Below are 18138 nucleotides of genomic sequence, written 5' to 3'. Positions count from 1 at the left end.
GAGGAGCTGTTCTCTGCTCATTGTTCCTCTATCCCCTCATTTAATCCTCCCAGCCACCCTGCAAGGGAGAGTTTACTCTCCCCATTTCCTAGGTGAGCAAACTGAGGCATAGAGGGCCTGAATCCCTTTTTGATTTATAGACAGGGTCTTGCTCTATTGCCCAGGCTGGAGTACAGTGGCACCATCCTAGCTCACTGAAGCCTGGAATTCCTGGGCTCAAGCAATCCTCCCACCTCAGCCTCCTGAGTAGCTGGGACTACAGACATGAGCCACCATGCTCCACGAAGGGACCGAATGCCTTGACCAAGTGATGGAGCCATCTTGACTATGGTTTCCTTGTAACTGATTCCTGAGTTTCTGACCTTAGCCACAGTGCTAGATAATCACTCTCCCCAGGGTTGCAGCAACCTCAAAAGAAGGGCCCTAATCTCATGACTAAAACAAAGGCCTATGTGACTCCTAAGAGAAATAAGGACTAACACCTAGTCCCCACCCTCCATATGCATGTCTCCAAGCCACGCACGGGGGTCATCGCACGCTAAGACGCTCTGACGGAGGCACTGTTGATATTAATACTCCTACTCAGTAGATGAATAAATGGCTCTGAGAGGTAAAGTTACTTGTCCAGGGAACACAGACGGTTGGGTGGATTTGAGTCTGCACTATTTGTTCTGCCTGGGAGGAGACAGGTCATAGTGCATAGGTAACATGATTGAAGACATCAAGCTGCTCTTTTATTATTTTCACATTGATACTGAAGAGTGGCATAACTGTTATGGAATGTATTGTTCTTGTTTCTTTCTCTCTGCACATCCAATTTATAAAAAAAAATAAAAATAAAAAACCATGCACTCTTTTTTCAAAGTGCAGAGGATCCAATCACTTCTAGCCACCTTCAGTGCTCATACTTTGCCCCAAGACCCCGTGGTCTCTCACCTAGATTATCACAATGGCCTCCTGATCAGCCTGTCTGCATCCATCCTCGCTCCCCACCTATCTGCCCCCTCACATGAGTGTCAGAACGGTTCTGTTAAGATGTAGTCGGGTCAGAGCACTCATCTGCTCAAACCTCAGCTCACTCAAGGTAAATCCCACATCCTTCACAATGGCCTACAAAGCCCCATGTGATCTGATCAACACCTCCTATTTTCTCTTCCAGCTCATCTTCTCTCTCTAATCCTCTCTTTTCCCTCTGCACTCTCTCTGGCCCTCAGGCATGCTCCTGCCCCAGGGCCTTTGCACGTGCCCTTCCCTGGAATGCTCTTTCTTCAAATACCTGCAGGCTTCACCTTCACATCTCTTTCAGGCTCCTACTCAACTACCATCTCTTCCAAAATTCTTCCCTGACCACCCTGTAGGACACACCCATGTCCCTCTCTACCTTCCATACTCTGCTTTACTTTTCCCCTGTGACCCCTGACATAGCACATATTTATCTCTGTTTTTTGTTTGTTTGTTTGTGTTTTCAAATAACCTACCTTCCACACTGCAAAGTAAGCGCCATGAAGCAAGAGAGGGAAGTGGCTTTGTTTGGTCTGCTGCTGTATGCACAGTACCTAGGACAATGTCTGGTGCAGAGAAGGAGGGCAAGAAATATTTATTAAATGAATGCGTGAATAAATAAATGCTCGGGATAGAAAAAATCAGACATGAGGACATGAGGCTTTCCCTTATCAAAGGCCCCCTATTGTAAGGGTAAGAGAAAGGAAAATGTGTTTATAGTGCACCTACACTGTGTCAACATGGCAGTTAGGAGGGCAGCTCTGACTCAGACAGGGCTAGATCCAGATTCCTGACTTTGCCTCTTGCTAGCTGGGTGACCTGGGAAAATTACCTGCCTGCTCTAAGCTCAGCCCCCTCACCTACGCAATGTGGATACTGAGATCACCTGCCACCAAGGATGTCCTAGGTAGGAGATACAAAATGCATTCCAAGTGCCTGATGCCTGAGAAGTGGCAATAAATATTAGCTATTCAAATTTTTACATCAGCTGACCTCCCTGAGACAGTAAAAGTGCCTCTTCCCTGAAGTACAATCAGGACTTTCAAATTTATTTTTTTTCAGATGTGAGGTAATCAGAGTGCAGAGAGGAATTCCACCAGATAGAAAAATCCAAGAACTGACCTAAATAAACATTCCTCCCTCATATCATTTTTGACCTTTGCTATTTAAACTTTGAAATGATGCAATACACGGACGCTCCACCTGAGATACCCAGACACCAATTACCTCCACATTTTAATCTCTGATTCCAGACTTTGATGGCCTGCAGTAATTCTGGAAGCTATTTTTCCGGATAAGAAAATGATCAGCACGTATGCCGTACATAAGTAGTATTTGGGCTTGAATGGTCACAGAAAGAAGGCAGCAGGGAGCACGTTTGTTTGAGGCACAGGTATTTGGTTGGAAGAACTCTGGTCCAATAGTCCTATGAGTAAGGTCCTGAGAATTAGCACAGATCATTTACTTCTCTCTTGGGTCCCCTGGGGTTAGCTTTTACATTTAGGCAGAGACCCCCAAGCTTGCATGTGTCACTGTGATAGAGGACGTATTTCTCCTATGCTGATTCTGCTTTACTTGTTCATTAAAATCACCATCATCTGAGCAAAAAGGCAAAGTGTGGAACATTCGGTATCTTGTAATCCCACTTATGTAAATTATATAGATGTGTGTTTCTTTAAGCACTGGAAAGATATCTGGAAAGATGCTCTTTAAAATAGAACGTGGTTAAATGGCTATTTAGGGCTGATGGGAATTTGGATGAGTTGAGGGGTTTTTTGTTGTTTTAATCTTCCTTGTATTATTTGAAGTTTCTAAAATTTCTGCAAATTATCTGTGTAATAGAAAAGAAACAATAAAGCTATGTTCATTTCCAAAGGAAAAAAGTCATCACCATCATTACCATCATCATCATTATCGTGATCATCATCATCACAAACAACATTGGACCGTGGCCAGTTACCATGCTTGAATTTTCCCGTATTTGTGGCAGAGCTGGGGTCTGGTACCTAGTGGTGCCCATTCTAAGAAGGCCAACTGGGGGTCGGGCATGATGGCTCATGCCTGTAATCCCAGCACTTTGGGAGGCCGAGGCAGGTAGATCACGAGGTCAACAGATCAAGACCATCCTGGCCAACATAGTGAAACCCCGTCTCTACTAAAAATACAAAAATTAGCTGGGCATGATGGCATGTGCCTGTAGTCCCAGCTACTCAGGAGGCTGAGACAGGAGAATGGCTTGAACTGTGGAGGCGGAGGTTGCAGTGAGCCAAGATCGTGCCACTGCACTCCAGCCTGGCGACAGAGCGAGACTCCGTCTCAAAAAGAAAAAAAGAAGGCCAACTGGGAGGCCAATGAGTTGACTGTTGGTTTCCTAATGAATGGAGGTTGCAAGTTATTTGGGCATTTGTCAATGGCATCTAAAAGTCCTAAACTGATGTGCCACGTGGGGCAGTGCTGACTCTCATCTTTCCCACTTCTACCTGTATTTGTAGAAGTGAGCAACTTGATGGGGGTCCAAATGCTGGCAGTCTGTTTGTTGAACAGAAGTATTCTAACCCCCTTAGCACAGAGGCAAGTGGGCAAAAGAGAGGGCACAGAGATTTCTGGTCACTCCAAGCCATGCCAGGCTGAAACTTCCTGGCGGTGTCGAGGAAAAAGGCTGATGAATTTCCCTCATTTATTCCTTTATTAATTAGTACGTGTTAGGCATCTACTGCAGGGCAGACACTAGATCAAGGCTTGGATGTGATCCAGAAAAAAACACCTGTCCTCATGGAGCCCACAATCTAGAGGGGAAGGCGGGCAGTAAACGTATAGTAAGGCTTTGCAAAACTAATCTTAGATGGGCAGTGCTGAGTAGAATATAAATCAGACACTGAGATAGTCTAAATCAAGAGTCAGTAAATCACAAACTAATAACGATTTTTTTACATTTTTAAAGGGTTGTAAACAAACAGGATAATATGTAATAGGGACTTTTGGTGCCTCATAAAGCCTGAAGTATTTACTCTGGCCCTTTGCTGAAAGTTTGCTGATGCTTGGAAAAATCAAAAAGGACACAGGGAGAGGACATGTAAAGGCAGAGAGGTCAGAAGAACCTCTCTGAGGATGCAACACAAGCTGAAACCTGACCAAGCAGGACCCAGTCACGGGAATAGCCCACATGGTCCAGAAAGAGAGTCATCAAGTGCTAAGGTCCTGAGGCAGGGAGGAGGCAAGTGTGGCTGGAACATTATAGTGGAGGAGATGGGTGGTGCGAGGTGCAGGGAACCAGGGGAGTAACCAGGGGGCCACAGCATGCAGGCTGCGGCGAGTAGCAATAGGAAGCGGTGAGCTCTGAGCTCTGGAGATGTCTGCCTGTGTGTCTGCCTCGCCATCTGTAGACATCTATCTATACGTATCTCTCACTGCAATGAAGCAATATTTAGATAGACAATAGAGAGATAGATTGATTTACTTTTTGTTGTTGTTGTTGTTGTTGTTGTTGTTGACTCAGAGTCTTTCTCTGTCACTGGAGTGCAGTGGTGCAACCTCGGGTCACTGCAACCTCTGCCTCCCGGGTTCAAGTGATTCTCGTGTCTCAGCCTCCCCTGTAACTGGAATTATAGGTGCGTGCCACACACCCAGCTAATTTTTTGTATTTTTAGTAGAGACAGGGTTTCACCATGTTGGCCGGGCTGGTCCCGAACTCCTGACCTCAAGTGATCCACCTGCCTCAGCCTCCAAAAGTGCTGGGATTACAGGCATGAGCCACGGCACCCGGCCTGATTTACTTTTAATTTTGAAATAATTATAGATTCACAGCAAGTCACAAAATAGTACATAGAGTCCCATCAGCCCTTCACTCATTTTCCCCAATGGTGACATCTTGTAGGACTTACAGAAGTGGCAAATTGACATTGGCATGATACTATTAACTAGACTGCAGAACTTGAGTTCATTTATATTTGTAATCGCTCTGGCCACCCCATGGAGAACGGATTAGTGGCAGGCTTGAACTGCAGGTAGAGGGTGTAGCAGGCTACTGCAATTATCCAAGCAAAAAAGAAAAAAGAATATGAAGAAAAATAGACAGATCTCAGTTTTCTGGGCAGTTCATTTCCACTTTGTTTCAGTATCTGGCCTCCTTATGAGCACCAACAGTTTCATGGGACAGTAAAGATGAAATAAAGTGACGTATATAACTATCTAGCACCGTATCCCAGACCCTGGTGCAGTGTGCTCCGTAAACATGAATCCTCTGCACGTCCTCCCCCTCCATTCTCAACGGGGATGGAAGGTTGATGAGTAAACAGCCTTGCTGTGGTAATGTGGGAAAACAGACTGAAACACTGCAGGCCTTGGGGCTCGAGTCCACTCAACAAAACATTTCTCATGTCATAAGGACTCAATAATGTTATCCAATTTGTGATTGAACAAAACAGCCCAGGAGTACACACAGAACACCAGCAGAGTGTGTAAGTGTATGGACTCTTGAGCCAGACAGCCTGAGTCCAAATCCTGGCATTCATAGCTGTGTGGTCTTGGGAAGGTTTCTGAATCTCTATGAAGGACATTTACACCTAACTCAGGCAGCTATTATCCTGTCTCTCTCTTCCCCGGTTTCCTTTCCCCTGCAGTGTAACATTGACGCAAATCACTTACCTTCTTGTTTCAGTTTCTTCTTCTGTAAAATGGGATGATAATAATGACACCTCTTTCAGTGGATTATCAAGGGCATTAAATGAATAGACACATATAAAATACATAGAAAAAAAGCCTAGCCTATACTGTTAATAAATGCTCCAAAAATGCTCCTTTTGTTATTCCTTCTTCCCCACTGGAGAACGACCTCTCCAAATTGAGCCAATTGAAGGCTACTGGGGAAAATATTGTGCAAAATATGTGACACATTCTGTGTTTACCGTAACGATCCTTTCCGTGAAATGCATTGGGAGTTGCCAGAATTAGACTCAACATTCAGTAAATCATGATAACGTGAGGTTAGCTTTCCAGTGGCCCATCATTTGAGGAAATACACACAACCTCCAAGAATTTCTGAGAAGCCAGAAAAATGTGATCATGGTTCCTGAGAATAGAAGAAGGGAATATCTCCTTCCCCTTCCCAAGTTTCCTGGGACCCCCCTAGCACATGGGTCAAACTACAACTCAAATGCTGATCCCTGTTTTCACTTCTACTCCTAATAACTGATTGAGGAGGCTATAGGTGGCTCCTAGAGAAAAGAAACATTTTTTAAGTTCCCTAATAATTACGGCAGTCACCATGTTTGGGAACTACCCAAAAATGCATGTAAAACACCCTACAAAATATTCGGCACATAATATGGGCTCAATAACGTGAGCTGCTTTAAGATTTCTTGAAATAGCCTCGGGATACATAAAGGACACTAGTGGAGTGGTTAAAAGAGTGGACTCTTGGGCCAGACCTCCTGAATTCAAAGGCTAGCATTAATAGCTGTGTGGTTTGGGGGAAGTCTTTTTAACCTCTACAAACTTTTAATATGAAGATAATAATAGTACCTATCTCATAGAGCTCTTGTATAGTTTAAAAGAATTAATATGTGTAAAAATGCACATAAACAGTAACTAGCAAATGACACAGGGAAAATTGTGTGTTAGCTCTAACTATCCCTTCCATGAAATGCACTGGGGGTTGCCAAAATTAGACTCAAGATTCTGGCTGGGCTTGGTAGCTCATGCCTGCAATCCCAGTACTTTGGGAGGCTGAAGCAGGCAGACCACTTGAGGTCAGGAGTTCAAGACCAGCCTGGCCAACATGGTGCAAACCCATCTCTACCGAAAATATAAAAAAATTAGCCGGGTGTGGTGGCACGTGCCTGTAATCCCAGCTACTCGGGAGGCTGAGGCAAGAAAATCTCTTGAACCCGAGAGGCAGAGGTTGCAGTGAGCCAAGATTGCGCCACTGCACTCCAGCCTGGGCGACAGAGCGAGACTACGTCTCAATAAATAAATAAATAAAAGATTCAGTAAATCACCGTAACATGAGATTACCTTTCCGGTGGCCCATCATTTGAGGAAATATGGACAACCTCCAAGAATTTGTGAGAAGCCAGAGAAATATAATTTTATTTTCATTTGCTCTAAGCAAGTCATATAAGAAAGTCCTGTAGAATCTTTGGAAGATTACAGAAGCTGTTAAGATTCTGAAACTAGATTAAGAAAAACAAAATCACAGAAGATGCTGAATGGTAGCAAGGTTGGGACACAAATGTGGTTTCGTTTTCATTACAGCTTCTGTAGGAATTAATCAGCTTGATACCAAGTGGCAATGTTGTTTTTTTACCAAAACACATTATTTTAGCACAGTCTAAGTGAGCTGATAAGACCAGATGCACATGCGCACACACACACACACACATACACACACACTCACTCACCCTCCTCAGCTCAAAGTCTAGTCAATTAAAACAAATGGGATTCCAGAAAAAAAAAAAAATGGGTCTCTAGGTTGGCATGAGTCCATGAGAAAAAACTGGAAGACATTAGCCTTAGCCTCAGCCTTGTATGTAGCTAACAGGTCTGCAAGGTATAAGGTAAGAGGACACGAGACAGGTATACCTGGAACACCTTCCCCAGTCTTCAGCCAACTTTCAGAGAACTGGTTGAAATCCAAAAGATTTGGGTTTAAATTGTGGACCTGTTCCTCCCAGCTCTGTGACCCTGGGTAGATTCACTAAGCCTAAGACTCCAAAATTGTAAAACAGGCTTCCCTTAGAATGTTAAGAATGAGATGATCTGGTGTTCAATACTTCTTACTATGGTGCCCACACCTGCTAACTGAATAGCCCACATGGGGTGGCAGTCACTTTTTTGTTGTGACTTGTTCTCTTCCATCCGAGCTTTACAGCTCAGATTTGCCACTCACTGCTAGATTCCAGACTATTTTAGCTTCCTCTTGGTTATGGCTTGGCCTCTGCAACCCAGCTCAGATGACTGTGTTGCCTGGATAAGACCCCAGGAAGCTTCCCACGGCTGCCAGCTCCCTCTAGCATGCCAGTCCTGTTTCAAACTGGCCTTCTGGCCACAACCCCACAGCCCTCTGATGTCTGAAAGGCTCAGTTAGAAAGTCTTCCCTCTTTGGAGTAAGCATTGCCCTTTTTCCCCATGCATATGCTCCTAGGAAGCCATGAAATCTCATTCCTTTTACAAGTGCATTTATCAGATATCTTTTGCTGCAATGCAGTAAAGATTGAAGAGGGCTATGGACAATGGACTTGGGTATATTTGTTTTCTGTATTTGCTGTAACAAATTACTACAAACTGAGTGGCTTAAAACAACAGAAATATAATCTTTCACAACTTAGGTGGCCAGAAGGGCAAAACCACCCTCACTGGGCTGAGCAGGCACACCCCCTCCAGAGGCTCCAAGGGAGAGCTTTCCTTGCTTTTCCCAGCTTCTGATGGCACCGGCATTCCTTGGCTTGTGGCTGCATCATTCAAATCTTCAATGTCATTGTCTTCAGATCTGTCTCCATTGCCTCCTTCTCTCCTGTATGTCTGTGTTAGGTCCCTTTGCCTCTCTCTTTTAAGGACGCTTGTGATTATATTTAGGACAAAAGATCCTGTAATCTCCCTGTCACAAGATCCCTAACTTAATCCCTAACTTAATCGCCTCTGCAAAGACCCTTTTCCCAAATAAGTCACATTTACAGGATCCAGGGATTAGGACCTGATATTTTAGGGGGCCATTATTCAGTCCTCTAAGGTGGGTTAAATGAGGCAACAAGTGAGATGGGAAGTCATGTCTGTCGAATACCTGCTATGTGCTAGATCCTTTCCTCAAAACAAGTTCGTGTGCAAAATATCATAATTTCCATCACATGGATGGTGACAGTGTTTTTAGAAAATGAAGCTGACAACAGCAGCAACATTAGTTTTTGTTTTTGATTGTAGATTAAATGGTAATTAATCAGCCCAACACAGAGCACAGGCTGCTTTTCCAACTGCATCACCTGTACCCTTGTCCTACGACTGGCTAACACCTTCTTGTTTTTCAAAACCTCAGCTCGGTGCCAATATCCTTGGGGGGCTTTCCTGCACCCTAGGCTAGGCAATGACCTTTCTTCGGGGCCCCTGGCTTATTCTGTGCTCTCTGATCACTGTGTTGCTTCCTCTCTGTCCCAAAAGACCACACAGCTTCTCTAAGGTCAGAGAGCCCATCTCGACTTGGGGTACCCCACAACTTGCACAGGTAAAGCACAGTAGTTAATAACTATGGAATGAATAAAGTAATGAGATTGAGACTCAGAAAAGTTTATATTATTTTATTTATTTGTTTATTTATTTATTTATTGAGATGGAGTCGTGCTCTGTCACCAGGCTGGAGTACAGTGGTGCAGTCTCGGCTCAATGCAACCTCCACATCCCGGGTTCAAGCGATTCTCCGGCCTCAGCCCCCCGAGTAGCTCGGACTACAGGCGCACACCACCATGCCCAGCTAATTTTTGTATTTTTAGTAGAGACGGGGTTTCACCATGTCGGCCAGGATTGTCTCGATCTCTTGACCTCGTGATCCACCCACCTCGGCCTCCCAAAGTGCTAAGATTACAGGCGTGAGCCACCGTGCCTGGCCAGAAAAGTGTATATTATTTTTCAAAGGTCACACTGGCAGAGTTTTTCTTCTTATAATAAATCAGTTCATTTGCCTTTTAGAAAATTAGAACAGTGCAGATAAAGTCCCTTTGACTTCCGCCTCAGATAGCATTATGAATGTCATTCCTGTTCTTCTAGACCTCTTTTTATTACTTTACATGCACATAAATGTATCCATAAAATACATGGCATTTGCTGTGATTTTTTTACAGAAATGGTATCCTTTTAAATGGATTTCTCAACAACTCATATTTTTTATTCAACAATATGTGTCTTTGAGATCCACCTCTCCAACTGATGTCAATTCATTCCTTTGAGGGCTGTGTTTTACTCCATCATATAAACCATATCCTATTTATTCTTTCCCCTATTGATACACCCTGAGGTTGACTTCAATTGTCTTTAATTATAAAAGGCAGTTTTGCAGTGAAAATTTGCATGCACGACCCATACTGCATGCAGGTAAGTGCTTCTCTTGAGTAGATACTTAGAAGTACTGCTGGGATTTGAACCCAGGTCTTCCTGATTGAAAACTCTTTCTATAGTGTCAAGCTTCTGCTTCTTGTTCTAGCCAAAAATCACAGTTGAGAGTCCTGGAAGGGTCAAGCAGGACTGGGGTAGCTTTGAAGGCAGATGAATCACCTGGAATCCTGAAGACAGAGAATCTGACAGGTCTAAGAGAATCATTAAAGGGAGAAAGAGTTTCAGCTCATTCATCTTTTCACTGTTACACCCTCTTCTCACTTGCTACTTTGTTGTTTAGCAATACAAGAGGCAGAAGGTAGAGGGTCCCTTCCTTAGGACTAAGCAGGACTGGCCACTAGAGCTTCAAAACTGGTCCACACTGGCCCAGCCTCTGCTCATCCAGCTGTGTGACCTTGGATAAGTCTGATAATGCTTTTGATTGACATGCCTTTCCCATCCTCTCTTCCTTTAAAAAAATCACCAAGGATCTGAGACAATCAAACCTGCCTCCAGCCCCTGCCACCTGGGAACCGACATAACGATACCAGCAGTTTTTTCCCTTCTTTTTATTCATTCCTGCAGCCATTGTTTATTGAGCATCTACTATGTGAAAGGCAGTCCTGAGTGTTTCAAGCTCTCCCCCACCAACCCTGCCCCAGGACCTTTGCACAAACTGTTATCTTTAACTAGTCAACTACTCACCTTCTGCCTGTCATTTCAGGGTCATATCCACACATGGAAGCCTTTGCATTCATCGAATTCCCCATTTTTGTAGCTCCCAAACCCTTTTCTCCTTTCTCTCTGGGACTATTTGCCCAGGTATAAATAGAAGATATGGATGAAGAGGATGACTAAAGTATTCGCGTCCTAATACTGGAGAATACTCAGGAAGCCTCCCTCACCCTCACTTTGCTGTTGCACCCCTTACAGTGACCCCATCACCAAGCCCTAATATACAGTTGTTGTTGTTGTTGTTTTATTTCTCACATACATTCTACAGAGTTCCCCTTCTCCCCATTGCCACTGCCACCTCCACACCCATCCTTGGTCACTGTCATTTCTTGCCTGGACTTGCTTATTCCTCTTTACATTTTCACTCAAGCAACTCCCACCAAATCTGTTTGATTCATCTCTTTGAGTGATCTCAAAATTGATGCCAGATGTTATCACTCCTCCCTTGCTTAAAACTGTTCAGTGGCTTTCCACTGCTCTTAGGATAAAGCCCAGAATCCTTGATGTGCACTGGAAAGCCCTCTGTGATTTGACCCTGCCTGCCTCTCCAGTTTCAGCTCACACCTCTCCGCCCCCAGCCGCACTTGTCTTCTTTTGTCTCCTGAGTGTCCTGTGCTCTCTCCCAGCAACCCGCCCCAGGGCCTTTGCACAAGATGTTCTCTTTAGCCAACTCCTACCCACCTTTCACTGTGATTTCAGGGTCGTATCCACACATGGAAGCCTTTGCAGAGTCCAATGATCAAATTCCCCATTTTTGTCGCTCCCAAATCCTTTTCTCCTGATAGCTCCTTTCAACAGATTGGAATCATATTTATCTGTGGAATTACTTAACTAATATCTGTGTCTCTCACTAGACTGGAAGCTCCATAAGGGCTACGTTTGTCTCCATTAGTGTATCCACAGTGCCTTTCACATAGTAGATGCTCAATAAACAATGGCTGCAGGAATGAACAAAAAGAAGGGAAAATACTGCTAGTATCATTACATCCGCTCTTAGGTGGCAGGGGCTGGAGGCAGATTTGATCTTCTCAGATCCTTGGTGATTTTATTAAAAGAGAAGAGGGTGGGAAAGGCAAGTCAATCAAAAGTATTATCACACTGATAATTCAACACATTTAACTTATCTGAGCCTCAGTTTCCCCACTTGAGACCCTGTGTGTCAAAGTACTTAGCACCTTGACTGACATATAGAAAGTGCTCACTCAACGTTTGCTATTGATTCTCATAGGAAGAGCTCAGTAAATGACAGTTGATATGAGGCATGCTTTGATTAGCCAAGATTTGTGGATTCAGGGCTTTAAATGCATGATGTCCTTTGACTCTCATGTCAGCCTATTTGTCAACTTGTTATAGAAAACCAAATCCTCCCCACGATCCAGTGTTTGAACCAATCGTAGCCTGCACCCCACTACTCACAGTGTGGTCCGGAGACGCGCAGCAGTGACAACAACCTGGAACTTGTCAGAAACGCAGAATCTCAGGTCCCATTCCAAACCTCCTGAACCAAAATCTTAATTCTATGTAAGACTCCTAGGTGTTTCAAATGTTTATTAAAGTTTAAGGAGTCTCAAGTCTAGGCCAATCAGACACCTCTGCTCTGAGACTGAGGCTGCTTATGGAACTTCCTAAGAACATGGCTAATAAAGGAACAAGGTGAGGCTAGAACCCATCCCGTCTGATTGCAGACTGAGAGCTTGATCCCTCTACTGTGCTGACTGACATGCATGAAGTGCCTTAGTGAGATAAACAGGCAAGGATCTTGGCCCTCAAATTATGGACAGCCTCACAGTGGAGACAAGGAAGAAAACCAGAAATGTTGATGCAGAAAGCTAGATGCTGTGACGACAGGTGGGGGTGCTATGGCAACCCCACACTCACCAAGGCCTAGGATTCACCAAGAGCAAATATTTTCTAGTGCAAGGAGATAAACACAATGTGTTCAGGCAAGTCCACTGTGCCTGGAACAGGGGCTCACAGAGTTTGGGAAAACAGCTGAGCAGGAGCAGTGGGAAGGAATGAATGAAGCTCTACAGGTGGCCAGTGGCCAGATTCAGAAGGTCAGCAAGCCCGGTGCTTGGCAGCCTGCAAAGATGACGAAGCTGCTCACTTTTGCTGCAGGGAGCTGCTGCAGACCTCCCCCTACAGACCTCCCCCTGCCTCTCATGGGGATAATATTCAATAGTTACAGAACTTTCTTATGCATTCCCTGAAGTGATCTTCGTGGAACTCTAAGAGGCAAGCAAGGAGCCCTGTTTTACAGACTAGCAAAGGGTGCAAAGAAAATGAGTGACCCAAGTTACCACATGGCAGGCTTTAGAGTGGATACGCAGTAAAAAAAATAAAAATAAAAAGGCATTTTCCTCCATATCTGATCAAGGAGAGGAGTTGCTCCGTAATTGTCATGTCTTTTTAAATTTTTTATTTACTTTACTTTTTTTATTTTACATATTTTTATTTATTTACATATTTTTGAGATGGAGTCTTGCTCTGTCGCCCAGCCTGGAGTTCAGTGGCACAATCTCGGCTTACTGCAGCCTCCAGGTTCCAGCAAGTCTCCTGCCTCAACCTCCTGAGTAGCTGGGACTACAGGTGCGTGCCACCATACCTGGCTAATTTTGTGTGTTTTTACTACAGATGGGGTTTCCCATGTTGGCCAGACTGGTCTTAAACTCCTAACCTCAAGTGATCCACCCACCTTGGCCCCCCAAAGTGCTGGGATTCCAGGCATGAGCCACCACGCCTGGTGTCAAGTCATTTTTTAAATGTTGACATATCTACCTTCCCTACTTCTCTTCATCGTGTTCCCATGAAATGGACTGGAAGAGATGCTTAATGATGAGGAAACCGAGGCACAGAAGGGATAAGCAACTCTCTTAAGATTCTACAGCAACTGGCCATGCTGGGGAAATTGTCTTAATAACACTAATCATCAGCAGATACTACTTATTACCAACAATATTATCAGCCAGGCTCTTTGTTACCATTCTCTCATTTAAATTGTTCAACGGCCCTAGGATTGGGCATCATTTTTGTGATGATTGTGTAAACAAGTTGGCTCTCTGGAAGATTAAGGAGTTAGGGAAGACCATGCTCAGAACCCAGGGCCCAAACCCACATCCTTTGTCACTAGGCCATCCTGCCTATGTGCCTGCCTGTGTCTCTTTACTACTTCACTGGGACACATGTGGCTTTTATTTTCCTGTCCACTTTGATAAATACACCTTTCCCACGTCTCACCTTATAAGAGAGTTGGAATCCAGTTGTGAACCATGGGCACCCACTCTGCTCTCAAGGCTGGTGACAGCAACCCCAAGGAACCCTGAACTCAGAAGGAGCCACAAGACAGCAACAGGCTGGGATGACAGATGTTGCAGCCCCAAAAGCCAGCTCAGTCTATCACTTCGCAAACAGAAACATGTCTTTAATTATATCGGTTAGCTCAGCACAGCGAGGGGGTCTGGAGACAGATGATCGGTGTCTCCAAACAAGCAAGCCTTTTCAAGCTGTGCATCAATGCCGCGAGTGCACTTAATTCCATTTGTCACCTGCTTGGCAGCCATCAACCCCTTGATTGAGCTGAATGAGCTGACATCATGCATTTAGGCAAAATCATCAGGTTCCTATGTTTTGATTTTTAAGTTTATTGATGTCTAAAAGAAAAGCAAGAAAATCAAATCTCTCAGGATCAAAGTTTGAACCTGTTGAGCAGAGAGAGTGTTTAGTTTTATTGGCCACCTGCTATTGGGGATTATTGCACAATAGCACTCTGCAATGATTTTTTGGTAAGAAAGTTTCATTCACGGGCGGGGTGAGAAGGACGGGCATTAAGTACCTAGCACAGTTTCTGGCACAGAACTCAACTCAAAACATGAGAGACTCTGTCAATGTTATTGTTTTTACAAGCAATAATGTAAACCTTTTCAATAAACCCTTGTTTCACAGCTGTATCCCCAGACTTAGCACAGTGCCTGGTACATAATAGATGTTCAATAAATACCTGTAGATGGAATGAATGAATGATGAATGAATAAAGCCAAGCAGATGAGTATTATAATTCCCATTTGCAGTATTTGTCATTTGTAGTGTGTAGTGTGTTTGCCACAGCATGTCAGGAACCAGAAACGTAGATGGTTTTGCAAATGAACTTGAGTGCTTCATGAATGGATAAAGGTTCACATATAGATCACTTTCAACCAGAGGACCAAGCACAGGGCAACTGTCAAAAGACTGCCTTTAGCTGGGCACAGTGGCTCACATCTGTAATCCCAGCGCTTTTCTTTTTGGCTACCCAGAACCTGAAAAATGTTCCTTCCTTTGCCTGGGGCATTCCAGGCAGAGCTCACTTTCCACTGTTGAAGGTAAAGATGCCAAATACCCACTTTCTTGGGCCTTAGCAGCCACCACACTCTACCAATCAGCTGTGCCTGCTCCAGAGTGAAATTGGAGCTATGAGCCCTAAAAAATGAGGGACAAGTGAAATCCATGTTTAAAATAGATGCTGGTGGTGGTGGCAACTTTTCTGATTTCCCTGGACACAAAGGGCTGCTGGGCTAACAGTATGAGTGAAGCTGGGAGAGATGGCAGCCTGTTCTGCTGGGAGATTTTGGGAGCTGATGATGCTTGCATAGCTCAGAGTCTACTCCCTGACCCTCTGAGGGAGAGCTTCCTTACAAACACTGAGGCTTAGCTTGTTGCCTACAACCAATGTCCCCAACCATTCATTCTGTCGTTTCCCCAAGGTCACAGCTATTAAGTGGCGGAGCCAGTTAACAATCAAAACCACAATGAGATACCATCTCACACCAGTTAGAATGGCAATCATTAAAAAGTCAGGTAACAACAAGTGCTGGAGAGGATGTGGAGAAATAGGAACACTTTTACACTGTTGGTGGGACTGTAAACTAGTTCAACCATTGTGGAAGTCAGTGTGGCGATTCCTCAGGGATCTAGAACTAGAAATAGCATTTGACCCAGCCATCCCATTACTGGGTATATACCCAAAGGACTATAAATCATGCTGCTATAAAGACACATGCACACGTATGTTTACTGCGGCACTATTCACAATAGCAAAGACTTGGAACCAACCCAAATGTCCAACAATGATAGACTAGATTAAGAAAATGTGGCAAATATACACCATGGAATACTATGCAGCCATAAAAAATGATGAGTTCATGTCCTTTGTAGGGACATGGATGAAATTGGAAATCATCATTCTCAGTAAACTATCGCAAGGACAAAAAACCAAACGCCGCATATTCTCACTCATAGGTGAGAACTGAACAACGAGAACACATGGACACAGGAAGGGGAACATCACACTCTGGGGATTGTTGTGGGGTGGGGTGGGGGAGGAGGGATAGCACTGGGAGATATACCTAATGCTAGATGACGAGTTAGTGGGTGCAGCGCACCAGCATGGCACATGTATACATATGTAACTAACCTGCACATTGTGCACATGTACCCTAAAATTTAAAGTACAATAATAAAAAAAAATATCTTTATCACCAGAGACAGAGACAATTCTCTGCAAACAATCGAATTTTGTTAAAACAACTCTTATCTTTCTTTAGCTTTCCTGTATATCTTAATTACTTTTTCACAATTGCCTCACTTTGTCCAGCATAGTAGGAAAGCATTGAGATTTTGCAACTTCTTTGGGCTGCCATTTCTTTATAAAGTCTCTCAACTCACATAAAACTTAAAATTAAATAAATCTGTATGTTCCTCTAAAAAAAAAAAAAAATAACAATCCTAGGTCTAGAGATTCTAAAGGCCATGCCCATCTTCACTGAGCTTCTAAAAAGAAATAGTCTGTCATTAAACCATGTGGCTGCAGAAGATGCTAATTGAATGTCTGGTTCTAGTCAACAATCTTTCCCCTGGTTGGTGCACATACATGTCACGTAGAGATCTGGACAAGTGGGCACGTATGGGTGCATCACACAAGCTTTTTTGGGGACACTCTGTACAGAGGCCAGCCTGGCCATCTGGAACTCAGGGTTCTGGTTAAAAGGAGAAATCCATTTGTCCAGCATTAATCAAAAGAAGCCTTCAAACTCAGGCAGAATTGACTCAATTTTTAATTGGGTTCAAGTCAGATAATTACTCAGCTGCCCATAAAATTCATTTTAACTTATTAAATGGAGCTTCCAAAATAGCATTGCTATGGAGTGTGGCCAATTGCATGGGTAATATGTCTAAAGAAAAAACACATTGGTCTGAAACCTGAATCCTTTCTTGCCCAGTGGCTGAAGGACTTGGGCAAGTGACTCAACCTTTCTGAACTACAGTTTCCTTGTCTTTAAATGGGTGTATTTGTATCCGCTTCATGGCAATGTTGCGGGGATACATGAAATACTTATGTAAACTATTTAGCACATGGTCTGGCCCAGAGAAGGTGCTGGGTAAGTAGTATAAGAAGAACAGCCTTAGGATACATTCCCAGAAGTCAAATGACCGAGTAAAACTGCATGAAACGGTCTTCAGTGTTCTTCATTTAGATTCCCACTTTTTTTCCTAGAGGGTTGTACCAAGTTTCACAGCCACTGACAATTTATAAAGGCACCTATTTTGTAAAAGATTTTAACCAGATCTTTGCCAATTGATGAGCGATGCTAAGCAACAAGAACCAGAAACATGGATGGCATGGCAAACGAACTTGAGTGGTTTCTGGATGGACAAAGAGTTCACCTATAGATCACCTTCAACCAGAGTTGTCCTGCCAACCAAAGGACAATTGTCAAAAGACTCTGCCTTCAAAGGTATACAAAAGGAGCATATTTGGAGCAAAAGGAGCATGCACATTATTGTGCATCTGAACTTAGATCATAACTTTTTTTTTAAAGAGACAGGGTCTCACTCTGTTGCCCATGCTGAAGTGCAGTGGTGCAATCCTCACGGCATCCTCAAACTCCTGAGCTCAAGCAATCCTCCAGCCTCAGCCTCCCAAGTAGCTGGGACTACAGGCATGCACCACCATGCCTGACTAACAGATCATAACTCTTAAAGTTGCAAGGGATCTGGCAGGCTGATCCAACATCCCCTTAGTGTAGGGATTACTGAAGCCAAGGAATCCAAATATTTGAAAGACAGTGACTTTAGGGAGAGTACATGGCAGGTGGTGAAGTTGCCTTTGTGTGAATTCCCAGAACAAAATGCTTTAGAGAAACAAGAAAAATAGAAATAAAAGAACATGGGATGAATACTGCAGTCACAGAAATCCTGACTTTTCCTGCTAGAATAGAGAGGACAACCCTTCATCTACCCATTGCAATTTGAAAACATGAAATCATTCACAACAGAAACCTCTGGCCATGT

General features: G+C 43.8%; 1 long non-coding RNA gene across 1 annotated transcript in view; it reads right to left on the bottom strand.

Annotated features, from left to right (window-relative positions):
• LOC132205950 (uncharacterized) overlaps window positions 1-5844 on the bottom strand; it is a 31950-nt gene extending 26106 nt beyond the window's left edge. Inside the window, exon 1 of the long non-coding RNA NR_188388.1 lies at window positions 5647-5844. This is a non-coding gene — a long non-coding RNA (uncharacterized LOC132205950). The remainder of the gene's footprint in view (window positions 1-5646) is intronic.
• Between the last annotated feature and the right edge of the window lie 12294 nt (window positions 5845-18138).

The sequence above is a fragment of the Homo sapiens genome, chromosome 16 (genome assembly GCF_000001405.40).
Source record: "Homo sapiens chromosome 16, GRCh38.p14 Primary Assembly".
Classification (NCBI taxonomy): domain Eukaryota; kingdom Metazoa; phylum Chordata; class Mammalia; order Primates; family Hominidae; genus Homo; species Homo sapiens.
Note: the sequence above shows the minus strand (reverse complement) of the source record. Positions and strands in the feature narration are given on the sequence as shown.